The sequence below is a fragment of the Homo sapiens genome, chromosome 2 (genome assembly GCF_000001405.40).
Source record: "Homo sapiens chromosome 2, GRCh38.p14 Primary Assembly".
Taxonomy (NCBI): domain Eukaryota; kingdom Metazoa; phylum Chordata; class Mammalia; order Primates; family Hominidae; genus Homo; species Homo sapiens.
The window spans coordinates 55,302,683-55,324,230 of NC_000002.12; the positions used below are offsets into that span (position 1 = coordinate 55,302,683).

At 36.2% G+C, this 21,548-nt stretch overlaps 1 protein-coding gene and 1 long non-coding RNA gene across 5 annotated transcripts in view, besides 1 other annotated feature; one reads left to right on the forward strand and one right to left on the reverse strand.

Annotated features, from left to right (window-relative positions):
- CCDC88A (coiled-coil domain containing 88A) overlaps positions 1–21,548 on the reverse strand; it is a 132,015-nt gene that overhangs the window by 14,841 nt on the left and 95,626 nt on the right. For 3 of the 4 annotated variants that reach the window (NM_001254943.2, NM_001135597.2, NM_001365480.1), the window contains exons 18-26: positions 19,846–20,010; positions 16,161–16,322; positions 14,882–15,159; positions 14,524–14,667; positions 13,246–13,432; positions 9,752–9,897; positions 6,480–6,572; positions 6,127–6,341; positions 387–470 (exon numbers count right to left, since the gene is read on the reverse strand). In NM_001254943.2, the coding sequence (NP_001241872.1) occupies positions 387–470; positions 6,127–6,341; positions 6,480–6,572; positions 9,752–9,897; positions 13,246–13,432; positions 14,524–14,667; positions 14,882–15,159; positions 16,161–16,322; positions 19,846–20,010 (1,474 nt within the window). The remainder of the gene's footprint in view (positions 1–386; positions 471–6,126; positions 6,342–6,479; positions 6,573–9,751; positions 9,898–13,245; positions 13,433–14,523; positions 14,668–14,881; positions 15,160–16,160; positions 16,323–19,845; positions 20,011–21,548) is intronic. The other variant, NM_018084.5, reaches the window with a different exon arrangement.
- Positions 320–820: an enhancer, noted in NCBI's record as "H3K4me1 hESC enhancer chr2:55530138-55530638 (GRCh37/hg19 assembly coordinates)". NCBI's record gives its function as "activates a minimal SCP1, AML or CMV promoter by ChIP-STARR-seq in naive H9 embryonic stem cells {active_cell/tissue: H9 hESC(naive)}" and the evidence as "EXISTENCE:reporter gene assay evidence [ECO:0000049][PMID:30033119]".
- LOC124907768 (uncharacterized) overlaps positions 6,150–21,548 on the forward strand; it is a 31,478-nt gene continuing 16,079 nt past the window's right edge. The window contains exons 1-2 of the long non-coding RNA XR_007086323.1: positions 6,150–6,245; positions 11,306–11,569. This is a non-coding gene — a long non-coding RNA (uncharacterized LOC124907768). The remainder of the gene's footprint in view (positions 6,246–11,305; positions 11,570–21,548) is intronic.

Sequence of the window (21,548 nt, forward strand, 5' to 3'; positions counted from 1 at the left end):
TTAATTAATCTGGTTCATTAAAGGAAATTAACTTCTAATGCTAAACATTTTGTTATATTCTTCTTAAGTAAACTTCTTTGGGAAAAAATCTCTATGGCATATAAAATAAAGGGTTTTTTTCCTGCCAATTTTTAGAAAGCACTGGAAATTTACGAGTAAGTTACATGTATGACTAGAAATATGCACGTATATGTATCAGTGGACATATACATAATGCAAATTCAGTGCCACTTGAAAAAAAAAATTCTTCTAGCTCCTTATATTAGAGGAAGACTGACCTCTGCAAAATAAGGAAATTGGCACAGTCCAGAGAAAGGTTAGTGAAAAATTAGTAATGAAAGCCAGTGTAGTCAGTTGAAAGAAGCTGAACTGTCATAAAGTCTTACACATGGAACGACGGTAGCAGGCCTTCATTTTGTCTTTATCCTTCGGTCTGTTCCTCAAAAAGGGCAGTCTTTTCAGTGCAACCACTTTAATGTCAGAGCATGAGGAAAAACAGAAACAGGGAGATGAAAGAAAAAAGGGAGAAGAACAGATGGGAGTTAAATGTTGAAATTAAGGACAGAAATGAATGTTTGAGTTTTAGCTATGTATGCTATATTAAGGCTATTATTCTCATGCTGCTGAGTGATAATGAAATATGAAATATGTACTTTGATATTTTAAAATACTTGGAAAAGCACTGAAGACAATGATGAGGAACATATACTTTTTTTTTTTTTTTTTTGAGACGGAGTTTTGCTCTTGTTGCCCAGGCTGGAGTGCAATGGCACGATCTCGGCTCACTGCAACCTCCGCCTGCGATTCTCCTGCCTCAGCCTCCCTAGTAGCTGGAATTACAGGCATGTGCCAACATGCCTGGCTAATTTTGTATTTTTAGTAGAGACAGGGTTTCTCCATGTTGGTCAGGCTGGTCTCGCACTCCCAACCTCAGGTGATCCGCCCACCTCAGCCTCCCAAAGTGCTGGGATTACAGGCGTGAGCCACCACGCCCGGCCTGAGGAACATATACTTTTAAAGCTTGGATTGGTTACAGTCCTATAAAAACAGGAACTGATTAGAATTATTTATGCAGGGATCAACTTTCCTAGTTAAGTCGTAAAGGTAAACCTTTAAAATGAAGGCTACTGGTGGTTCACAGAGTCTACATGATGAAAATGTACAAGGCTTTTGAAGTCTCTATTTTAACTATTTTAACTTTTTAAACATAAGTTAAAATATTTATTTTGGAAAACAAAAATAACTTAGGAAAATGCACATTCCACCACAGTATTTTATTAATATAAAGCAACAAAAATTAGGGTGCCCAGGGGATGTTTAAAACAGTCTTAAAAACTTTAAGATTTCGAGGAATGGTAGCTTCTGCCTGTAATCCCAGGATTTTGGGAGGCCAAGGCAGGAGGATCGCTTGAGCCCAGGCGTTCAAGACCAGCCTGGGCAACAGAGCGAGAACCCATCCCTACAAAAAATTAGCCATGTGTGGTGAGCACCTGTAGTCCTAGCTGTTCTGGAGGGTGAGGCAGGAGGATCGCTTGAGCCCAGGAGTTCAAGGCTATAGTGAGCTATGATCACGCCACTGCACTCCAGCCTGGGTGACAGAAGGAGACCCTCTCTCAAAAACAACAAAACAAAACAAAACTCAAAAAAACCTTTCATTAGTTCATTACACTTCAGTAAAGAAAATAAATTCCTTCTTGGTTTAAACTGGATTCTGGTGCATTATTTAGCAGCACCACTGAAATAAAAATTCTTTTGACCAGAGTATTTCTAAAGATTAAATAAACAATCACATTAAGTTCATTTTACAAAAGATTCGTTGGGGGAAAGAGGGGAAAAAAAAGAGTATTTTGATAGTAGTAATAAGCATTAGCAATAAGCTCCGATAAACCTAAAAAATAAGGAGGTACCCCAAAGCAAGCAAAAATGAGAGAAAAGTATATCATTTTTAGATATTTTGAAGAGCTTTTTGAAGGAATTTGATTTTGTGAATAAAAGTTAGGATTATCACTAAAATATAGGAGTCATTAGAACAAAAATAAAAACGTTCACTAGAGTCACTAACCATTCTTAAGCTACATTTTAGTAAGATTTAACTATAAAAATTATTGTATCTTTTTAGAAATGTAATTTAGGAATTAGGAAAAACAATTTGCATAAAGACCTAAAAACATATTATACACTATTTAATAACTACATTCTTTCTCAGTGTTTGCTGTCATCGTGTAAATAATCACAGCTCTTTTGACAAACTAACAAGTATCATTTATTAGAGAGAGTGCAATGGACATATAGCTCTTTAACTTGTTTGATTGCTATTAGGAGCAGTCATAATTCATTTAAGCTTTTAGTTTGACCTATTTCTTTTCAAGCTTAGTAAACACAGCTGTTTTCAATGATTAAAAAGAAATGAACTGAAAGCAATATAAAAATGGACACTTAGATAAAACAAAGCTGAGTGGTTGCAGCATGCACATGTTGTCTTGTTTACTTTTCTTTTTCTGTTTTTAATTTTTTTCCAAGGACTGCTTTACTGACAGATACTCTTCCAAAATGGACAGGATAAAAGGAGTTTTATATTTGTCAGGAAGAAATGATTCTTCTTATAGCAATGAGTTTGTATACATACAATGTTCATTTCCCAAAACATACTGAAATTAAGGGAACATTAGTATTTGTTGGGTTTGGGGTTTATTTTAAAAATTCTAAAACTAAACAACTGTAGGAAAGGAGAATATCACTTCCTTCTGATTCTTATTCTGGATGTTTCAGCAGAGAATATGAAATGATGACAGATTTATACCTAAACAGACAAGATGACTTCAAAAAAGACTTTTGTGCCTCTCTTGTGTATGCTTATATCTGAATTGACATTTTTTTCCTTTAAAGCCAGGCAGTGGTTCATGCCTGTAATCCCAGCACTTTGGGAGACCAAGGCAGGAGAATAGCTTGGGGCCAGGAGTTTGAGACCAGTCTGGGCTTAATAAGTGAGACCCTGTCTCTAAAAAACAATTAAATAAAATAACAATTGTCAGTGCAGTGCTGTTTTCCTGTAGTCCCAGCTATTTGGGAGGATGACGCTGAAGCAGGAGGATCCCTTGAGTCCAGAAGTTCAAGACTGCGGTGAGCTATCATTACACCACTGCGCTCCAGCTTGGGCAACAGAGTAAGACTCCATCTCTTAAAAAAAAAACTTCCTTTAAAAAAAAAATTAAGTATACCTATTACTATTTCTTTCTTTTTTGTTTTTTTTGAGATGGAGTCTCGCTCCTGTCGTGCAGGCTGGAGTGCAGTGGCGTGATCTCAGCTCACTGCAAGCTCTGCCTCCTGGGTTCATGCCATTCTCCTGCCTCAGCCTCCTGAGTGGCTGGGACCACAGGCACCTGCCACCACGCCCAGCTAATTTTTTGTATTTTTAGTAGAGACAGGGTTTCACCATGTTGGCCAGGATGGTCTCAATCTCTTGACCTTGTGATCTGCCTGCCTCAACCTCCCAAAGTGCTGGAATTACAAGTGTGAGCCACCGCGCCCAGCCCCATTTCTTATTTGGTAAGATGTCAGATATTTTATATCCAAAGATAACAGATAAAATTAAGTTATCTGCCATCTTTTAAAGAAAACTTGATGACCTGTCTAAAACAGTAACTACTTGGAGGATTTGTATAGATTTACTTGGTGGACAAAACCAGACAGCAAAAGACCCAGGGTAACAATAATTTTATGTGGGGATATAGAATTATAAAACTGCTTGACACACACACACACACGTACATATACATATATGTGTGTATATGTACATATATATACCTGTGTGTGTATATATAAGTGTGTATGACTTTTTACGTTGCTTACCTATGGATTCTAGTTTTTAGGCTGCTATACTTGCATTCTGAAATATATCCCATAATTTTATTTAATTTTTTTGAGACAAAGTCTCGCCCTGTCACCTAGGCTGGAGTGCAGTGGTGCAATATTGGCTTACTGCTATCTTCACCTTCCAGGTTCAAGCGATTCTCCTGCCTCAGCCTCCTGAGTAGCTGGTGCATGCCACCACACTGGGCTAATTTTGGATTTTTAGTAGACACGAAGTTTCACCATGTTGGCCAGACTGGTCCTAAACTCCTGACCTCAAGTGATCTGCCCGCCTCAGCCTCCCAAAGTGCTGGGATTACAGGCATGAGCCACCGCGCCTGGCCTATAGCCCATAATTAATGCCTAATATCCTATACCCTAAAATACTATGTTTCCAGAGATAATTCACCTAAGCCAAAACACTGTGAATAGTTTTTTGAGTGCTTTGAGAGTTGCCCATTTGGAGAGTCTACCCCTGGGAGAAGCAGCAGCTGCATTTACCTGCTATTTCAAAAGAATAGAATGTGTCTGTGTGTGTGTGTGTTCAATTAGTGACATTAGTGATAGTGTGAGAGGATTCAAAGTATCCTGTTCACATATTTTGTAAGAACTTTGATAGTAGTCAACTTCTTAGACATCTTTAAAAAAATTTTCTGATTTTCTTGGAATATACTTCCAAAGCTTTTACTTTGGTTTTACTGTTTAAGCATACTAGTAATGAAATTAAAAGGTTATAATTGTATAGAGCATATTATAATGCGGTACTTCTAAATTTGTAATAAAAATTATATCATAAGTTTATAAACAAATATGTATCTCTTCACCTAATTTTTTTTTTTTTTTTTGAGAGAGAGTTTCACTCTTGTTGCCCAGGCTGGAGTGCAATGGTGCAATCTCAGCCTCAGCCTCTGCCTCCCAGGTTCAAGCGACTCTCCTGCCTCAGCCTCCCAAGTAGCTGGGATTATAGGCATGCACCACAACGCCCGGCTAATTTTGTATTTTTAGTAGAGACGGGGTTTCTCCATGTTGGTCAGGCTGGTCTCCAACTCCCAACCTCAGGTGATCCGCCCGCCTCGCCATCCAAAGTGCTGGGATTACAGGCGTGAGCCACCGTTCCCGGCCTAATTTTTTTTAAATAATAGAGACAGTGTCTCACTATGTTGCCCAGGCTGGTCTTGAACTCCTGGCCTCATGTGATCCTGCTTTGGCCTCTCAAAGTGCAGGGATTACATGCATGAGCCACTGTAACTGGCCCCCACATCTCTATTTTATTTTGAGACGGGGTCTTGCTGTGTCACCCAGGCTGGAGTGCAGTGTGCAATCTTGACCCACTGAAAACCTTCGCCTCCCAGGTTCAAGTGATTCTCCTGCTTCAACCTCCTGAGTAGCTGGGATTATAGGTGCACAATACTACAACGGGCTAATTTTGTATTTTTCTTTCTTTCTTTTTTTTTTTTTTTTTTGAGATGGAGTTTCACTCTTGTTGCCCAGGCTGGAGCGCAATGGTGCAATCTCGGCCTCAGCCTCCCGAGTAGCTGGGATTACAGGCATGAGCCACCACGTCTGGCTAATTTTGTATTTTTAGTAGAGACGGGGTTTCTCCATGTTGGTCATGCTGGTCTCAAACTCCTGACCTCAGGTGATCTGCCCACCTCGGTCCCCCAAAGTGGTGGGATTACAGGGGTGTGCCACCGTGCCCGCCAGCACCTCTCTATTTTAGATCCTTTACCAAGCAATCCTTCAATAATTTTCTTAACCTTCTGTAATTTCTAAATCATTGAATAACACCCCTTCAAATTCATACCTATTTTTGCTTCCCCAAATGTAACTTTGTTCCAATGTGACACCATCAAAGTATATGAGCAGAAACCTCATTATAGAATGCCTTATTATTCTGATTAAGTTATATATAATTATGAAAATGACATCTCATATTTCTAACTTGCTCCTTGTAACTGTCCTGTGAAGTATGAAGCAAAGGTAAAAGGCTTGCCCATATTAACAGAAATAGCAAGTGGCAGAGGTATTCCAGCTCTTATTTTAACTTTCTTTCTGCAATATTTTACCCCTCTGGCCAAATGATAGTATATCTGTGTATGATTTACCTCAGAAAATTGTGTGGCTGTACACTAATGCAGTACACAATTAATTTTATGATGTTAAATTAAAAAGAAATGCCATTCATCAGACTATTCCCCCAAAGGACTACTGAAGTTTTAAAAAATCTTTAGAAAGGATTCTAAATCAATACGATGTTTAAAGAGTTTAAGCACTCACTGCTGCTTTTCTTGGTCCCCAAGGTCTGGCCATCTTCTAAAGAGTTTGAACCTACTGAAGAACTATCTTGACTGTCTTGATGAGGGAGCTGAAGAAATCCTTCACTGGAGTCTGAGCGGGTGGGTGTTAATGTTAGAGATTTCTGGCGTTCCCGATTAATATCTTTCTTAGACTTTATCAATTTTCTCATTTTTAGAGTAATCCAGTTGCCTCTCCTAACAGAATTTTAAAAATTGTTATCAGTTTAAAATTCAACATACAAATCCTTCACAAAAGTAGAAGTCATCACAATATTAGAAATAACCTAGTGTTTTTTTTCAGAATAAGAATTCATAAAATTTGGTTAATGGTACCTTCTAGGAGGAGATGGGTCATAAAATTTGTATTGATCCATAATTTTCTCTTCTAGTTTCTCCTTCTGACGTCTTAATTCATTTAACTTATCACTATAAAATAAAAATTACCTTTTAGGACAGGCATCATATTTTGTACAGCTATGAATATTAAATTATTTGGTGACTGTGATCTAATGTCTCCCCAAAACATAAAAAAATACAGATACCATGGTTGGCAACTAAGATTTCATCAGGTAGTTAACAATGGGAATTTTTCCATGTTTCTCCTTTTTTAAAAATTTACATTTTTTTTTCCTTTTTGGAAGAAAGGTGACCTATTACAATTTATATCAGCAAAAAATTAAAACATTGTTTAGTTTGCTTACAATTATAGATATAATAAATAATCCTGCAAACACATGTTCATGCAAATATTTTTCTTTTCGGCAGAATTACTTAGGTTTGATTTACTTGTAGAGAACCATTTCCTGACTCCAGCAATGCATGAGTCATCGCATCCTAGTCTCATTGTTATATTCTCAGTAGTATTTACTATACAGAGAAACATCAAAGATCATCAAAGTATTGTCTCTAAGAAAACCCCACAATGCCAAAGAATACTATTTACTTCAGAAACATTAGTGATCATTTACAATGAGGAAGGCATGAGGTATATATGAAGATGAATAATAAATAGCTTTGTTTACAATATAGGAGAGAAGATATATCCATAAATTAATATAATAACATATAATATTGTGTGTGTGTATATATATAAAATGACTATATAATCCAAGGTAGTAGCAGTACCAAAATAAAATACTGTGCAAGTACAACAGGAAGGTAAATATATCCATCTTAGATCACGAAATAAAGCCCCATGAAGAAAAAGGCCATTATTAGATAGGCTGAAAAGGAAAGATAAGAATGCTAAATTACATGTTGGTGTAGTTGTAGGAAGTTAAAAAATGCTAAGTTATGTTTAGCTTGAATGTTATAGGCTGAGAGGAAGTAGTGAGGGAGAGTTTTTGTTTTACATTCTGCTCAGTAGGAAATCAGAAGTATTGAAAGTTTCATTACAAAGTGGTAAGAAATCTTGGTTTAAGGTACTTTAACCCAATGATGGAATAGGATATATCGGAAAGAGTGGAGATAAGGCAGGGCGTGGTGGCTCAGGCCTGTAATTCTAGTGCTTTGGGAGGTGGAGGCAGGTGGATCACTTGAGCTCAGGAGTTTGAGACCAGCCTGGCCAATGTGGCAAAACTCTGTTTTTACAAAAAATACAAAAATTAGCAGCATGCCGCAGCATTTGCCTGTAGTCCCAGCTACTTGGAAGGCTGAGGCAGGAGAATAGCCTGAACTCAGGAGTGGAGTTTGCAGTGAGCTGAGATTGTGCTACTGCACTCCAGCCTGGCTGACAGAGCAAGACTGAAAAGAAAAAAAAAAAAGATTGGAGATAAGAAAACATTCAGGAAGCTAATGGGGTAGTCTATTTGAGAGGGAAGGCTGAATTACAGTGGTGGAGACTAGGAAGAACTAACTTGAGAGATTCTGTAGAAGATGCCTTGTGAACAGATGTTGCCAACAGTTATACCACAGTACAAACAGCATACAGCCTACATTTATTATTCACCCAACTGCTTGGATCTGAGGCCTGCAGAAGAGTTGACATTTGAAAAGTTGTTAACAAGGCTGGAGTTCCCAGTTCGTTTTTCCTTTTACTTGTTGAAATATCATTAAGAACCTCCAAAATCTCAATACTACCTGTCCACTGCCATCCTGCTAGGACCACGTAACAAAGGCATTTAGCTAGAAATATCTAACATGCAAGATGGATATTTGTAATTTAAATTCATTAAGTCAGAATAGATCATAATCTTTGGAAGTCAACTATCTAGATACAAGCACTTTCACCTGGAAATGTATTAGTCACCAAGGGTCAGAATAGTAAGACAACAAAGCTTTGGATAATGCCTCTGCTTAAGGGACAGGAGACTCAAATGCCAAAAGTTTTATATATACGCAAAGCTTCTTAACCTAAAACAAGCCTTCTTTTGAAAGCAAGTAAAGGAATACATACCCCAGAAAGGACTAAAAGGACTAAAGGTGGAGCCCAAGTTGTCCAGCCACAAATGTGAAATTTCTTTGAGGTTTTACATTTACTTTGAAAGTTTACACAAATTCTGCCTTTGTTCCATGATACACCTGTGTATTAATAAAGAAATAATGTTCCCTGCCTGAAATTTTTTGGTAAGACTGGTGCTTCAGAAAAATGTATGATGTATCCTGGTTTCACATGTGCCCTGGCTGTTTATGTACATCAAGTCTGAGAGGCACAGACATACTACTTCATGCACTCCTTGAATAATCTAGAAAGTAAGTGTCATCTCTATTTTAAAGAAGAAACTAATGATCAAAGAAATGACTAGTCTGTGGTCACACTGTGAGTGGATGAATTGGGACATGAATTAGAAGCTGTCTAATTTCAACATCTGTGCTATTTCTATTTTACTGTGATGCTTCTCATTTGTGGGGCAAAGAGAAGAGATGTATTGAGTAAAGATGAATCATCGGGTAGTAATACCAAGACTACCCACTGGGCTGCACAGGCCCAAATGTGAGTCTTAACAGATTGTTTAACTTTCTGGAGACACAACTTACCAATAATTAAGCCCTGTCAACTCTCTTTCACATGTTTTGCAGCTTGATCTCAACTCCTTGGTATGGCATAGAACAACCTTTGTAAACTGGGTCCTGACTGTTTAGCCACTTCTCTATTGCACCCCTCCTTTCCTCAATTTTGCTCCAGAAAGAACAATTAATTTTTAGGTCCTATACCACACCACAACATACTTTCATCACACTTCCATGACTTTGTATTGCAGCTCTCCTGGGCTGGCATGCCTCCTCAAGCAAATTCCTATCGAACCTATAAATCTCCACTCAAATCTCATCTTTGGAAAGTTCACCTTGCCTCTCCCAGACTAAGATATTCCTGCCCCTATATGTGCTATATTTCTATGGCCTCCTACATATACTTCCATTATAGAATTACTGTATTTAAATGTTTATTTGTATTTCTCACTTTAGACTACTAATTCTTTAAGAGCAAGATGCATGTGTTTTCATGTTAGTATTTCTGATTATTAGAATAGTGCCTGGAATATAAGCACTCAAAAATATTTGTTGAAAATCAGTAAAAATTAGCATGAATTTTCTCTGCCACTGGGTATGGCAATGATAAAATCATGAGTAACATATTTCAGAGTGCAAAATTATTTGGTACCTACATGTACTGTCTTTGTTCAACATGAAAAAGATCCTTGCTTTCCATATTCTGCTCCAAAAGTGTTCTGTTCTGTAGCATTAATGTCTGAATTTGATCTAGTAGATGCCGATTTTCTTCTTCTAAATTTCCTTTAAGTTGGCTTAGCAACTGTTTAAACACAAACATTTTTTAAAAAATCAACATTTACATTTAACATAAATCAACTGAAAAATATGAAGTACTACACAAAGATTTAAGTGTTCCACTGTTTGAACAATTAGATGATTGTACTTTTATCAGAGCATGATTATTTTAGTGATGACACCTACAGCACTGGGTTACATGCTGTCTCTCTCTCTATATAAATATTTTCTTAATTTTCACAAACACTGGGTCTAATATATAATATATTATCTACTCCCCAAACACTGCTTTCTGTCTTTAAAACTGTTTAACTTATAGTATAGTCCAAAAGCTAGATTCAAATATCTAATATTTTATTTCTATGAAATGTTAGACAAGTAAGTTCTCAGATCTATGAAATGAGGATAGCTCCCACCCAACAAGGCTGTTGCAAGGATTAATTAGCATATGTAAAGTATCTAGTAGCATGTGTGTAGCACACACTAAGTACTTAGTATGTCTCATAATTTCCCCATCTACTGTTTTCTTTTTTTGAGACAGAGTTTCACTCTTGTTGCCCAGGCTGGAGTGCAATAGCATGATTTCGGCTCACTGCAACCTCCGCCTCCCAGTTTCAAGCTATTCTGTCTCAGCTTCCTGAGCAGCTGGGATTACAGGCATGCGCCACCACACCCAGCTAGTTTTGTATTTTTAGTAAAGATGGGGTTTCTCCATGTTGGTCAGGCTGGTCTCTAACTCCCAACCTCAGGTGATCTGCCCACCTCGGCCTCCCAAAGTACTGGGATTACAGGCGTGAGCCACCGCGCCTGGCATCCATTCACGGTTTTCAAGAAACCTTAAAAGTCTGTGTATAGTTTTTGTAGCTTGATCAAGGGAAATCGGGTAATTTAGTCAATAGTTGGTATTAACAGCTGGCATTACTAGTAGGTGGGCTGCCAGCAGCATTGGGCCTTTTCTACGCAGTTAGTAGAAACTGGAAATATGCCTTAGCTAGGCCAGAGGTTCAAACAGAAGTTAGCAGAAGGCCCAAAGTAGTGATTCTAAAAATTTGGCGTCCCTTGTAGAGTAGATTTGTGGGCCCCAGCATTCAAATTCAGGTCTCGAGTAGAGCCCAGAGATCTGTATTAAAAAAGCAAAAGCAAATAACACATACCCGCCCTGCCTACACCACCACCCCGGCCGCCCCCCGCAAAAAATAAACATTTTGAAAAATTTCAAAAGGTAGAGAAAATCAGGGAGAATTATACTATAATCATAAACAACCATCTAGATCTGTAACTGTGAATATCATACTACGTTGGTTTTATTTATCTGTATGTTGTTAAATTGAAACATAACATATGTGGTAGATTCATTAAAAAACTGAATGCATTTATTTTCTTCCCTGTACCTATGCCCTCTTGCAATGTGACTTCTCACTTTTCCCGTAAAGAAGTGGAATCTATTTTCCTTCTTCTTGAATTTGGAATGCTTTTGGCCAAGAGAAAGAGGTGGAAGTGATGGTGTAACAGTTCCAAGTCTAGGCCTCAAGTTGCCTGTGGACTTCCACTCAGACTCTCAGAGCCCTGCTGGAGGATGGAGAGACCACATGGAACAGAGAAGGGTTATCCCACCGAGGCCACCATAGACCAGCCAGCCCTCAGCGTACATGCCAGCTAATTACAGATGCAGGAGCAAACCCCTGGCCCATACATCAGTGAGTAGATTAGCATAGATGCTCAGCAAACTCAGACTCATTAGGCAAAAAGAAATGTTTACTGTCCATTACCACTAAGGTTGTCTCGTTGTTAAAGAGCATTATCAGTGTCAATAGACAACTGATAAAGCATATATAAAGAAAAGAGAACAATTTTTTTTGTTTGTTTGTTAGATGGAGTTTCGCTCTTTCGCCCAGGCTAGAGGGAAGTGGTGCGATCTCGGCTCACTGCAACCTCTGTCCCCCAAGTTCAAGCGATTCTCCTGCCTCAGCCTCCCGAGTAGCTGGGATTACAGGCATGTGCCACCACGCCTGGCTAATTTTTGTATATTTAGTAGAGATGCGTTTTCACCATGTTGGCCAGGTTGGTCTTGAACTCCTGACCTCAGATGATCCACCCGCCTCGGCCTCCCAAAGTGCTGGGATTACAGGCATGAGCCACCGTGCCTGGTCCAAGAACAAATTTTAAGTGTATATAGAGCTCAATGAATTATCACAAAGTAAACATATATGTTAAACTAGCACCTGGATCAAGAAACAGAACATTAATTGTATTCCAGAAACACCTGTGCTATCTTCCAACCACTATCCCTTCCCACCAAGGTTAACTACTATCTCAACCTTTTATACTATAGATTAGTTTTTTCCACCTCCACTAAATCATGTCATTATATGACTTAGCCCTCAGCCAATAATTAACATTTGACCCAAATTGTGAGAATTAGCCAGGGATGCATAGATAGCTAGGGCCCTCTCTGGTCTCTCTTGAACAGTTTTCTGGACCACCAGTGACATGTGGAATCTTATGAAGACCCACTGAGGCTGACTCATTTCTTGAAAATCCTTTAATTTTTGACTGGTTTACTGGTCTGTTACTTGCCCCAACCAATATTTCAACCTCAGGCTATCTAAGAGCTGACCTTTGACAGCTCTCCCACGCATGGGGCTTTTCTATGCTCTGTTCCAAATCAAGTCAGTTTTCTCCAGTAGAAAAGTTGCTGTTTTTCACAGCTTGCCCTGTGCTCTGTCAAAACTACCAGGCACAGGAACCAGGGAAGGAGAAGAGGAATGGGAAGAACCCCAAGATAAAATGCCTCAGACAACCACAGTTCCTTCCCAGGGTTGAATAGTTTTGCTTTAATAAATGCTTCTCAATTTGCTATATGCCCTTGTTGGGTTCTAGAGTCCTAACAAGGTTGTTTTTGACAGTTCTGTCCAATTTTATTGTTTCTTAAGGAGTTGATTTGCCACATTTCTCACTCTACCATTCTGGAGGTATACCATCCTATAATTTATTTGGACTTTTATAAATCATAGGTAGAATGAATTACTTTCTGAGCTTTGTTGGGTAATTAATTGTATGTTGTTTCCAGCTAATTTTTCTATTGGTTTATAATTTCATGCCAGGTGTAAACATTTTTTCATTAAATGAATAATTTTACAATTTTCAAAGAATTTGGACATAAGTTTAAGCTAATAGTTTTTAAAATATTGTAATTAATGATATGGGAAGTTGTTCTGAATTACATGTAAGTTTCAGTGATCCTAGACCAAATTCTTTTAGATATATGCCACTAAATATATACTAGTATTGTCATTGTAATCTAGTCATTTATTTCTTAGGCATGTCTTGGTGCCTAAATGAAGGACACAGTGATTAAACTTTTTAAGCTCACCTCACACTGGTTATTCAGCTTGGTTGATGTAATATCCAATTGTTGGTATTGTTCCTTTAGTTTTGAAAATTCAGCTTCTAATCTTGTTTGTTCCAGTTTGGAATTATTCAGAAGACTTTTCAAATTTTTATGGTCAGTTTGTAAAACTTCAGTCTCTTTTAAAAGTTGACTATAGGTATGATTCAGCCTATAATTAGAAATCATAGAAATATAATTAGATTATCTTAATAGCTTTTGGTGTAATTTATACAATATGAAATGATATAAATAACATTAAGGCATACTTAGAATAAAAGACTGTTTTACAAGTTACTAAACTTATCAAAAATCAGTTTCTATTCTGTAAAAACTAGATTTTTTAAAATTCTGAGTACCTTTCCCTTGAAAATAATTTTTAATTTCCTTTTTTCATCCACCCATCTCCACACTGGGAAAAGAATTTTTTAGTCTTTAAATATGTTGAAGTATAGGTACTCAAAGTTTCAAGTATTAATAAGAAAGTATTGGCTGGTTATTGATGGTCCATGTCTGTAATCCCAGCATTTTGGGAGGTAGAAGCAGGAGGATCACTTGAGGCCAGGAGTTTGTGAGCAACCGTGGGGATCACAGGAGACCCTATTTCTACAAAAACTAAATATTAAAATAAAAAAATTAAAAATTAGCTAGGCATGGTGGTGTGTGCCAGCAGTTCCAGCTACCTGAGGGGCTAAGGTGGAAGGATTGCTTAAGCATAGTAGTTTGAGGTTGCAGTAAGCTATGATCATGCTACTGAACTTCAGCTTGGGCAAAAGAGTAAGATCCTATCTCTCTCTCTCTTTTTTTTTTGGAGATGGAGTCTTACTCTGTTGCCCAGACTGGAGTGCAGTGGCGCGATCTCGACTCACTGCAACCTTTGCCTCTCAGGTTTAAGCAATTCTCCTGTCTCACCCACCCAAGTAGCTGGGACTACAGGTGCACGCCACCAAGCCTGGCTAATTTTTGTATTTTTAGTAGAGACGAGGTTTCACCATGTTGGTCAGGCTGGTCTCAAACTCCTGACTCAGGTGATCTACCTGCCTCGGCCTCCCAAAGTGCTGGAATTACAGGTGTGAGCCACTGCACCCAGCCTATTCTATTTTTTAAAATTCCGAATTCAAACTATGCTTGGTACTACAAAGGGGCAGTATATAGTTTGGATGTAAGAAATAATACATAATTTTGAAAAAACATATATATACACATATATATGTATATACTTTCTATATAAAATGTTTGTTATATATAATATATATTTATTACCTATCATTTTCACCACAAAGTTTCTTGTATTCTGCAGCTACTGTTTCATGATTTTTATTTTCAAGCAGCATTTTTTCCTGTTCTACTTTGAGCATTTTTTCCAAATCTTCCAACTGTCCTTTCTGTTTTAATAACTGATTGTAACTGGGGGGAAAAAAGGCATTTGGTTTATAATATTTACAAAAAAGAAATTTTAGAAATGAAGGAAATGAGTAATGAGTATCATTTAAAACACATGTAAATTTATATAAATTTCTTATGTAAACTAACATTAGATGTGTTTAATATATAAAATTTATTATACTACTTGAAGAAAATTCATTTTAAATTCACAGTACAACAAAATATAATAAATTACCGGTCTTCAAGGTCTCTATGTTCCACCTCAAGATTTTTGTGGGCAGACTTCAGAGTTCCATGTTTAGAGATAAGAGATTCATACTCTGAAGCCTGACGTTCATGAAGAAGTTCCAGCTTTTCATGATCTTTGATCAGAGAATCATAGAGAGATTTTAGGTCTTCTCGCTCTTTGATTACAGATTCATTTTCATTTTCTAAGGAAGACTGCTGGATTAGGAGTTGGGCATTCTGGTTCATGAGTGAGGTACTTTGGGAATTAAGGGTGGAATTTTCAACCTATAAGAATATATATTGTTATCAGACATAAGAAAAACAGTTCATGTTCTTTTTCAAAATACAAGATTACAATGTTAATTAAAGAAAGCTCTAAATGAATCACAGCACACATATTTACATTATACTGGGAAGACGTGGATTTTAGCTTCCCAAAGAATAAGGCTATCATTTAATTTTGACTTTTGGAAGTGTATATATACATATGTATGTGTGTATATATAGACATATATATGTATTGTATGTTTTGGGTTGAATTTATTTTAAATGAAGGTGATTAGCAACCATTTGTATTATATTACAAATGAAAATGTATAGAATTTGAAGTACTAGTTTATCATTTCTAGAATTTGGTGATAGAAGTTGATAGAAGTGAAAAATTACTTTTAGAAATTTTTCAAGAGTCCAAATTAAATAAGTATTTTCTTTATCAAAGTGTTGATGTTAATCAAAATCAGTGTCAAAGAAAAGGGTTACAGAAAGAAGAATTCTTTGATTCGGAGAGGGAACTTGTTTCTGCTCTTTAAGAGCTTTCAGAGTTGAACTTTTCCCCACCTGATTGTTCTGTTTTAAAAGACACTGGCGGTGTTAAGTGAAAGATGGATCCTTTGAACTTAGGAGAGGTCTAAAGACAAAATTCTCATGTTGTCCTGCTTTTCAGTAACTAAACTGACAAAAAAAAGCTATACAAATGAAATAAGGAATAGTATGCTGCAAGCATACTCTAAAGCAAGGGTTTCTACCTAATTTTTTACAATCGACTTAATGAAATGGTAGAAAGACCATAAATATAATTTATCTTTATTCAGATGTATTGACTGAATTTATTAATATTTAAAATTAAAAACTGATGTGTGAAAATTTGGCATGGCACTAAATAAAAATATTTTCATTTATCTTTAAGTTCATTCACTAAGAAACAATGTTTCCATGTTTACCCTCCCTTATTTTAATAGCATAATTCAAGAGTTTGGTTGCATATTCCCAAAATATTATATTACAACCTGAAGCTTGGCATTCTGTGTTTGAAGAGTGGTATTCTGTTCTTGTAATGACACTGTCTGCCTCTGAAGTGCAAGAATCTGAGCCTGCAAATTATTGTTCTGTGTCTCAAGTTGCTTCAGTTGAGTTTTCAACGCTTGCTTCTCTGCTTGCAGTGTAGCATTCTTGAAAAACAAAAACCAAAACCAAACATATTAACAATAATGGCAACATCAAATATGTTTCTATAGTATACTGAATTTTATACAATGAGTATTTATTAGCATTATAATCCATAAAAGCCCCAACAATCTTAAAAGAGAAAAAAAACCAAAACATTTCCCCCATCCCAAATTGTAAACAGACATTTATCAGAAAGAAGGCAATGATATTAAAACTTTAATATTGTGCCTGTGTCTTGTCTGCATTATAATATCCTAAAAATAAAATATCCCATTCTAAATATATTTATTAACACAAAAACTAGAAAGGAATTGTCAGTTGTATGGTTTTAATACTGCTTGAAGGTTCCCAGAATGCCCAGAATAAATGGGGCTGTGTCCAACCATGGAGGTCTAACTTTTCTAATTTACCCAAAGGCAAATATATACCTAAGTGAGTAGTGGTCCCAGAGATAGTGCAAAACTAAGTATATTCCAAACACAAATATTTCAAAGGGAAGCAGGTTTACAGGAACAATCTTAACCATTTTTTGTTTCCATTTTGCAATCCACAACAGACCTAACGCAGATATTTTCTTATTTTTCCCACAATATAAAATACTAATTAAAATTCTATTTCAACTATAAGACTCCTGGAGCATTTCCAAACAAAACATAAAATTTTCAGTTTTTCCAGTACATAAGGCCATATTTCAATTTTATAGCTAAACAAATGAATTACTATGTGAATCAATGATTATTATATTTTAAAATACTTGTCATTAATATTTTCAGGATTATTTCTAAATTAAACTTCATAAAAAATCAACAACAGCAAAGTATAAACAAAGAACCCTCCAGAAAACAGAAATAAAACTTTAATGTACAAAAGGTCATAATTGGTCTACCCTGCAGTATGCATAAAAAGTTAACAACTGAATCACAATAGATCACTCTTATCATATCTATATGTAAATATAACATTAATTTTATTGGCTTTATGTTATATACACTGCATGTCACTGTGTAAAAGGCAGGTCAGGATTTGACCCACATATTATACCATAAAATTGAAGCTGAGGAAACAAATGCTTTAAGATGCGTTATGATTTTATACTTCTCTTTTGTTCATTTGTTCAAATAGAAAGGATGAAAAAATGTGTACTAGAAAAAATAAAAAGGAATACTGATAGTACTGATGTATTTATATACCATCTCAGCACAAAGAGGTGAACCATTTTTCACATATATATGTGAAATACTATTGTAGTTTAGCACTTTAGAAACTAAATTGTACAAGCTCTACCGATTATTCCAGGTGTCTTTGGGAATAAAAAAAATTCCTATAGTCTATAATGAATAGAAGAGATAGCTGAGAGGGTATCTTAGAGCAGGAAAAAATTTACAAGGGCAAAGAAATAAGTTAGCAAATATAATACTGGCAAACACACAAAAATTACCAGCCTATTATATGGCTAACCGTCTTTATAACCCCATTATCTAAAATATGATATGAAGTAATTTTTTTCCAATGAGAATTTATAAAGGAAGTCTACAAGAAAAAAAGATTCACCTTACAGAACTTTATATGCCAGCTCAATTTTCTAAAATGTAATTATGAATCCAAGCAATATAGGTATATATATCACTGATTAAAAATAGGCATTTATAAATGGCCAATAAATATATGAAAGATGTGTAATACCTAACTCATAATTTTAAATGTGCACATGAAAATATTTTCTCCTATTGCTTTAAGAAAAATTAAAGCACTAGGTACTATCCAATGTTAATATGGAAAGATAGGTATACTCTCTTAGTGGGACTGAAAATTGATGTGATTTTTAGGTTGGGTGTGGTGACTCACACCTGCAATCCCAGCACTTCAGGAGGCTGAAGAGAGCAGATCACTTGCGGCCAGGAGTTCGAGACCAGTCTGGGCAACATAGTGAGACCCCATCTCTACAAAAAATACAAAAATTCGCTGGGTGTGGTGGTGTGCACCTGTGCTCCCAGCTAGTTGGGAGGCTGAGGCAAGAGGATCACTTGAGCCTGGGAGGATGAGGCTTCAGTGAGCTATGATCTCGCCACTGCATTCCAGCCTGGGAGATGAGTGAGACCCTGTCTCAGAGAAGAAAAAAAAAAAAAAAAAGATAATAGATGGGATTTTTAAAGACTAGTAGAAAAAATCAATTAAATACACACACACACACGTATATATCCTTTGGCCTTGCAATTTCACTGTCAGGAATTTAGCATTCTATGAACATGTTTAAAAATAACCTAAATGGGTGGGGCGCGGTGGCTCATGCCTGTAATCCCAGCACTTTGGGATGCCAAGGTGGGCGGATCATGAGGTCAGGAGATTGAGACCATCCTGACAAGCATGGTGAAAACTGTCTCTACTAAAAATACAAAAAATTAGCCAGGCGTGGTGGCAGGCGCCTGTAGTCCCAGCTACTCGGGAGGCTGAGGCAGGAGAATGGGGTGAACCTGGGAGGCAGAGCTGGCAGTGAGCCGAGATCACGCCACTGCATTCAATTCCTGGGCGACAAAGTGAGACTCCGTCTCAAAAAAAAACCAAAAAAACCTAAATGTCCAGAAATGTGAGATTTATTTAAGTAAATTATGGTAACATTCACACTATGGAATAATAGGTAGTCATTAAAATGAAATACATATACATCTGCTAAAATTGAGACATCTCCAATATAATATTAACTGAAAATGCAAATAGGAATTTTGTATAGCATGATCCCACAGGTATAAATTTGTTAAAGAAATATACTTCTACATACAGATAAATGACAAGAAAATTTTCTAGGAAGATAAACTGTTTATAGTGATTCTTTTTGAATGAGAAAGTAGAAATCATGGTGTGGGGATTAATTTTTGGTTTTATTGCTTAGTTTTTAATTAAAGGTACTATTTTTGTGTTAAATTAAAAAAAAAAAAACCACCACCACAACTATTTTACTTGTTATTGTGTAAGTTCCTTAAGTTTATTCATCTTTTGAAGGGTAAGTATTTGTTGTTCAGTTTGTTTGCTTGTTGTTTACTGTCAAGTATATATTGAACTAATTTAGCAAATATTTGTTAAGTGTCTACTACCTACCAGGCACTATTCTAGATAGTAAAGGCACGGTGGTAATAAAAAGAAAGACGAATTACCTGCTTTCATAAATGAATACAAAATTTAATTTCACTGTGAAAAGTGCTATGAAAAAACTAAAGCAGTGGAACAATAGTGAATAGTTTAAGTCAGGAATAACAACTTTACTGGGGGAAGAAGTCAGAGAAGACCTTCTGCAGGACATATGATATGCTACCCAAATGCTGAGGGAAGCCAGTCATATGTTCCAGGCAGGAGAAGCAAAAAGAAAGTCCCCTTAGGTAGGAACAAATAGAAAAAGGACTATATGACTAGAATTTTCTTATTAAGTGCCATCAATTGTTTAAATATTAGAAAATGTATCTAAGATAAATATATCCAGTGATCCTCTATTTCTAAAAAAAACTATTTCTACTAAAATTTAAAAATACTTACATTTCTTTCTACTTCAATTAATCTGTCTTTAACTTTCAGAAGTTCTCTAGTCGTTTCTTGACTTTCTCGCTCCCATTTGTTGTCTTCACCAGATATTGGAGGAGAGCTCTGTACCATCCTTTCCTCATCTTGTCTCTGTTTGAGAGCTTCATAATTTTTTTTCACCTAAAATTTTATTTAAAATATTTTAATGGGGAGAAAAAAATCACCACAGTTACATTTCTCTCAATTAATTTGACTCTGGGCTGATCTGGTGAATACGAAAGGCAATTTACTTTTAAATGTGATGAATAATATGTATGATTTATGCTTTTTAAAATGTAAATCCTTTCCTCCTAGAAATATAAAACATACTCTACTTATGTGCCAGAGTAATAGTCATGTCAAATCCTATCGTTTGTCGTGCAAATGCCCCTGGATTAACAGTGGATATAGATATGTTGCTAATGACTAACAATTCTTTTTACAGCTATCTATAACCAGGTTAGAAATTTCACAGAGATGCCTACGTAAAGCACAAAGATTTGACACTTTATTAATTTTAAGGATATATCGTATTCAGGATTTTTTAGTTCTGAGTTGGCTCTCTTAAAGTAGATTACAATCACACTAGAAAATCCTGGATAAGATATATCCTTGGATTGCTATTAACTTGCTCATCATACATGACCAAATTTGCCAGATTTAACTTAATAACTCTTTCTCTTCAACTTAAATTTAATATTACTATTCTTATCTTGAATTATTAAACTATCTTGAAGCACTAGTTTACCCTAGGAGATTCTTATAATAAATTTTAAGTTAACCCCAACCTTTGTATTAAGGCAGGGATAGAAATGTTTTATAGTTCAACATCTAATGTACAACTTAAGAAAGCCTATGACTCAACAATTAATATTGCTACCAATGAGTTAGAAAATAATGAGGTGAGACTAAAAAGATGCCAAGATAGAATGTAATGTCAAGTTTCTCAAGAAATCTAAGGGGTACCCTATGATCCTAGTTTCCGGGTTTTGTTTGTTTTGTTTTTACTTTTAACACACTAATAACAATAGATGAGTGGCATCATTTCTAGTCTCTATTTTACATGAATTTCCCATGAGGTCCTTATTCTAGGCTTAGAAAGGCTATAAATATATGCAGTTATTAAGAAAGGGGAGCTGAGAATAAAACTCGAATCCTTTCATTTTATATATTTTTTTGAGACATAGTCTCACTCTGTCACCCAGGCTGGAGTGCAGTGATGCGATCTTGGCACCCTGCAACCTCCGCCACCCAGGTTCAAACCATTCTCCTGCCTCAGTCTCCCGAGTAGCTGGGATTACAGGTGTGTGCCACCATGCCTGGCTAAGTTTTGTATTTTTAGTAGAGACGAGGTTTCACCATGTTGCCCATGCTGGTCTCGAACTCCTGACCTCAAGCTATCCACCCACCTTGGCCTCCCAAAGTGCTGGGATTACAGGCGTTGAGCCACTGCGCCCAGCCGAAGGCTTCTCATTTTAAACCCATTGTTCTTTCAAGTAAGTATTAAAAATGATTACTTTATGTATCATTAATCAAAATCTTTATATTCAGAGTCTAAAGATAAATCACTGTAACAAAGTAATTTAGAGCTAATTAAAAAATTGTCAAAGTTTAATTAAAATTTAAAATATTGTAAATTATGTTATGAATTCAAATTTTCAAGTTCCCAAAGATAATGT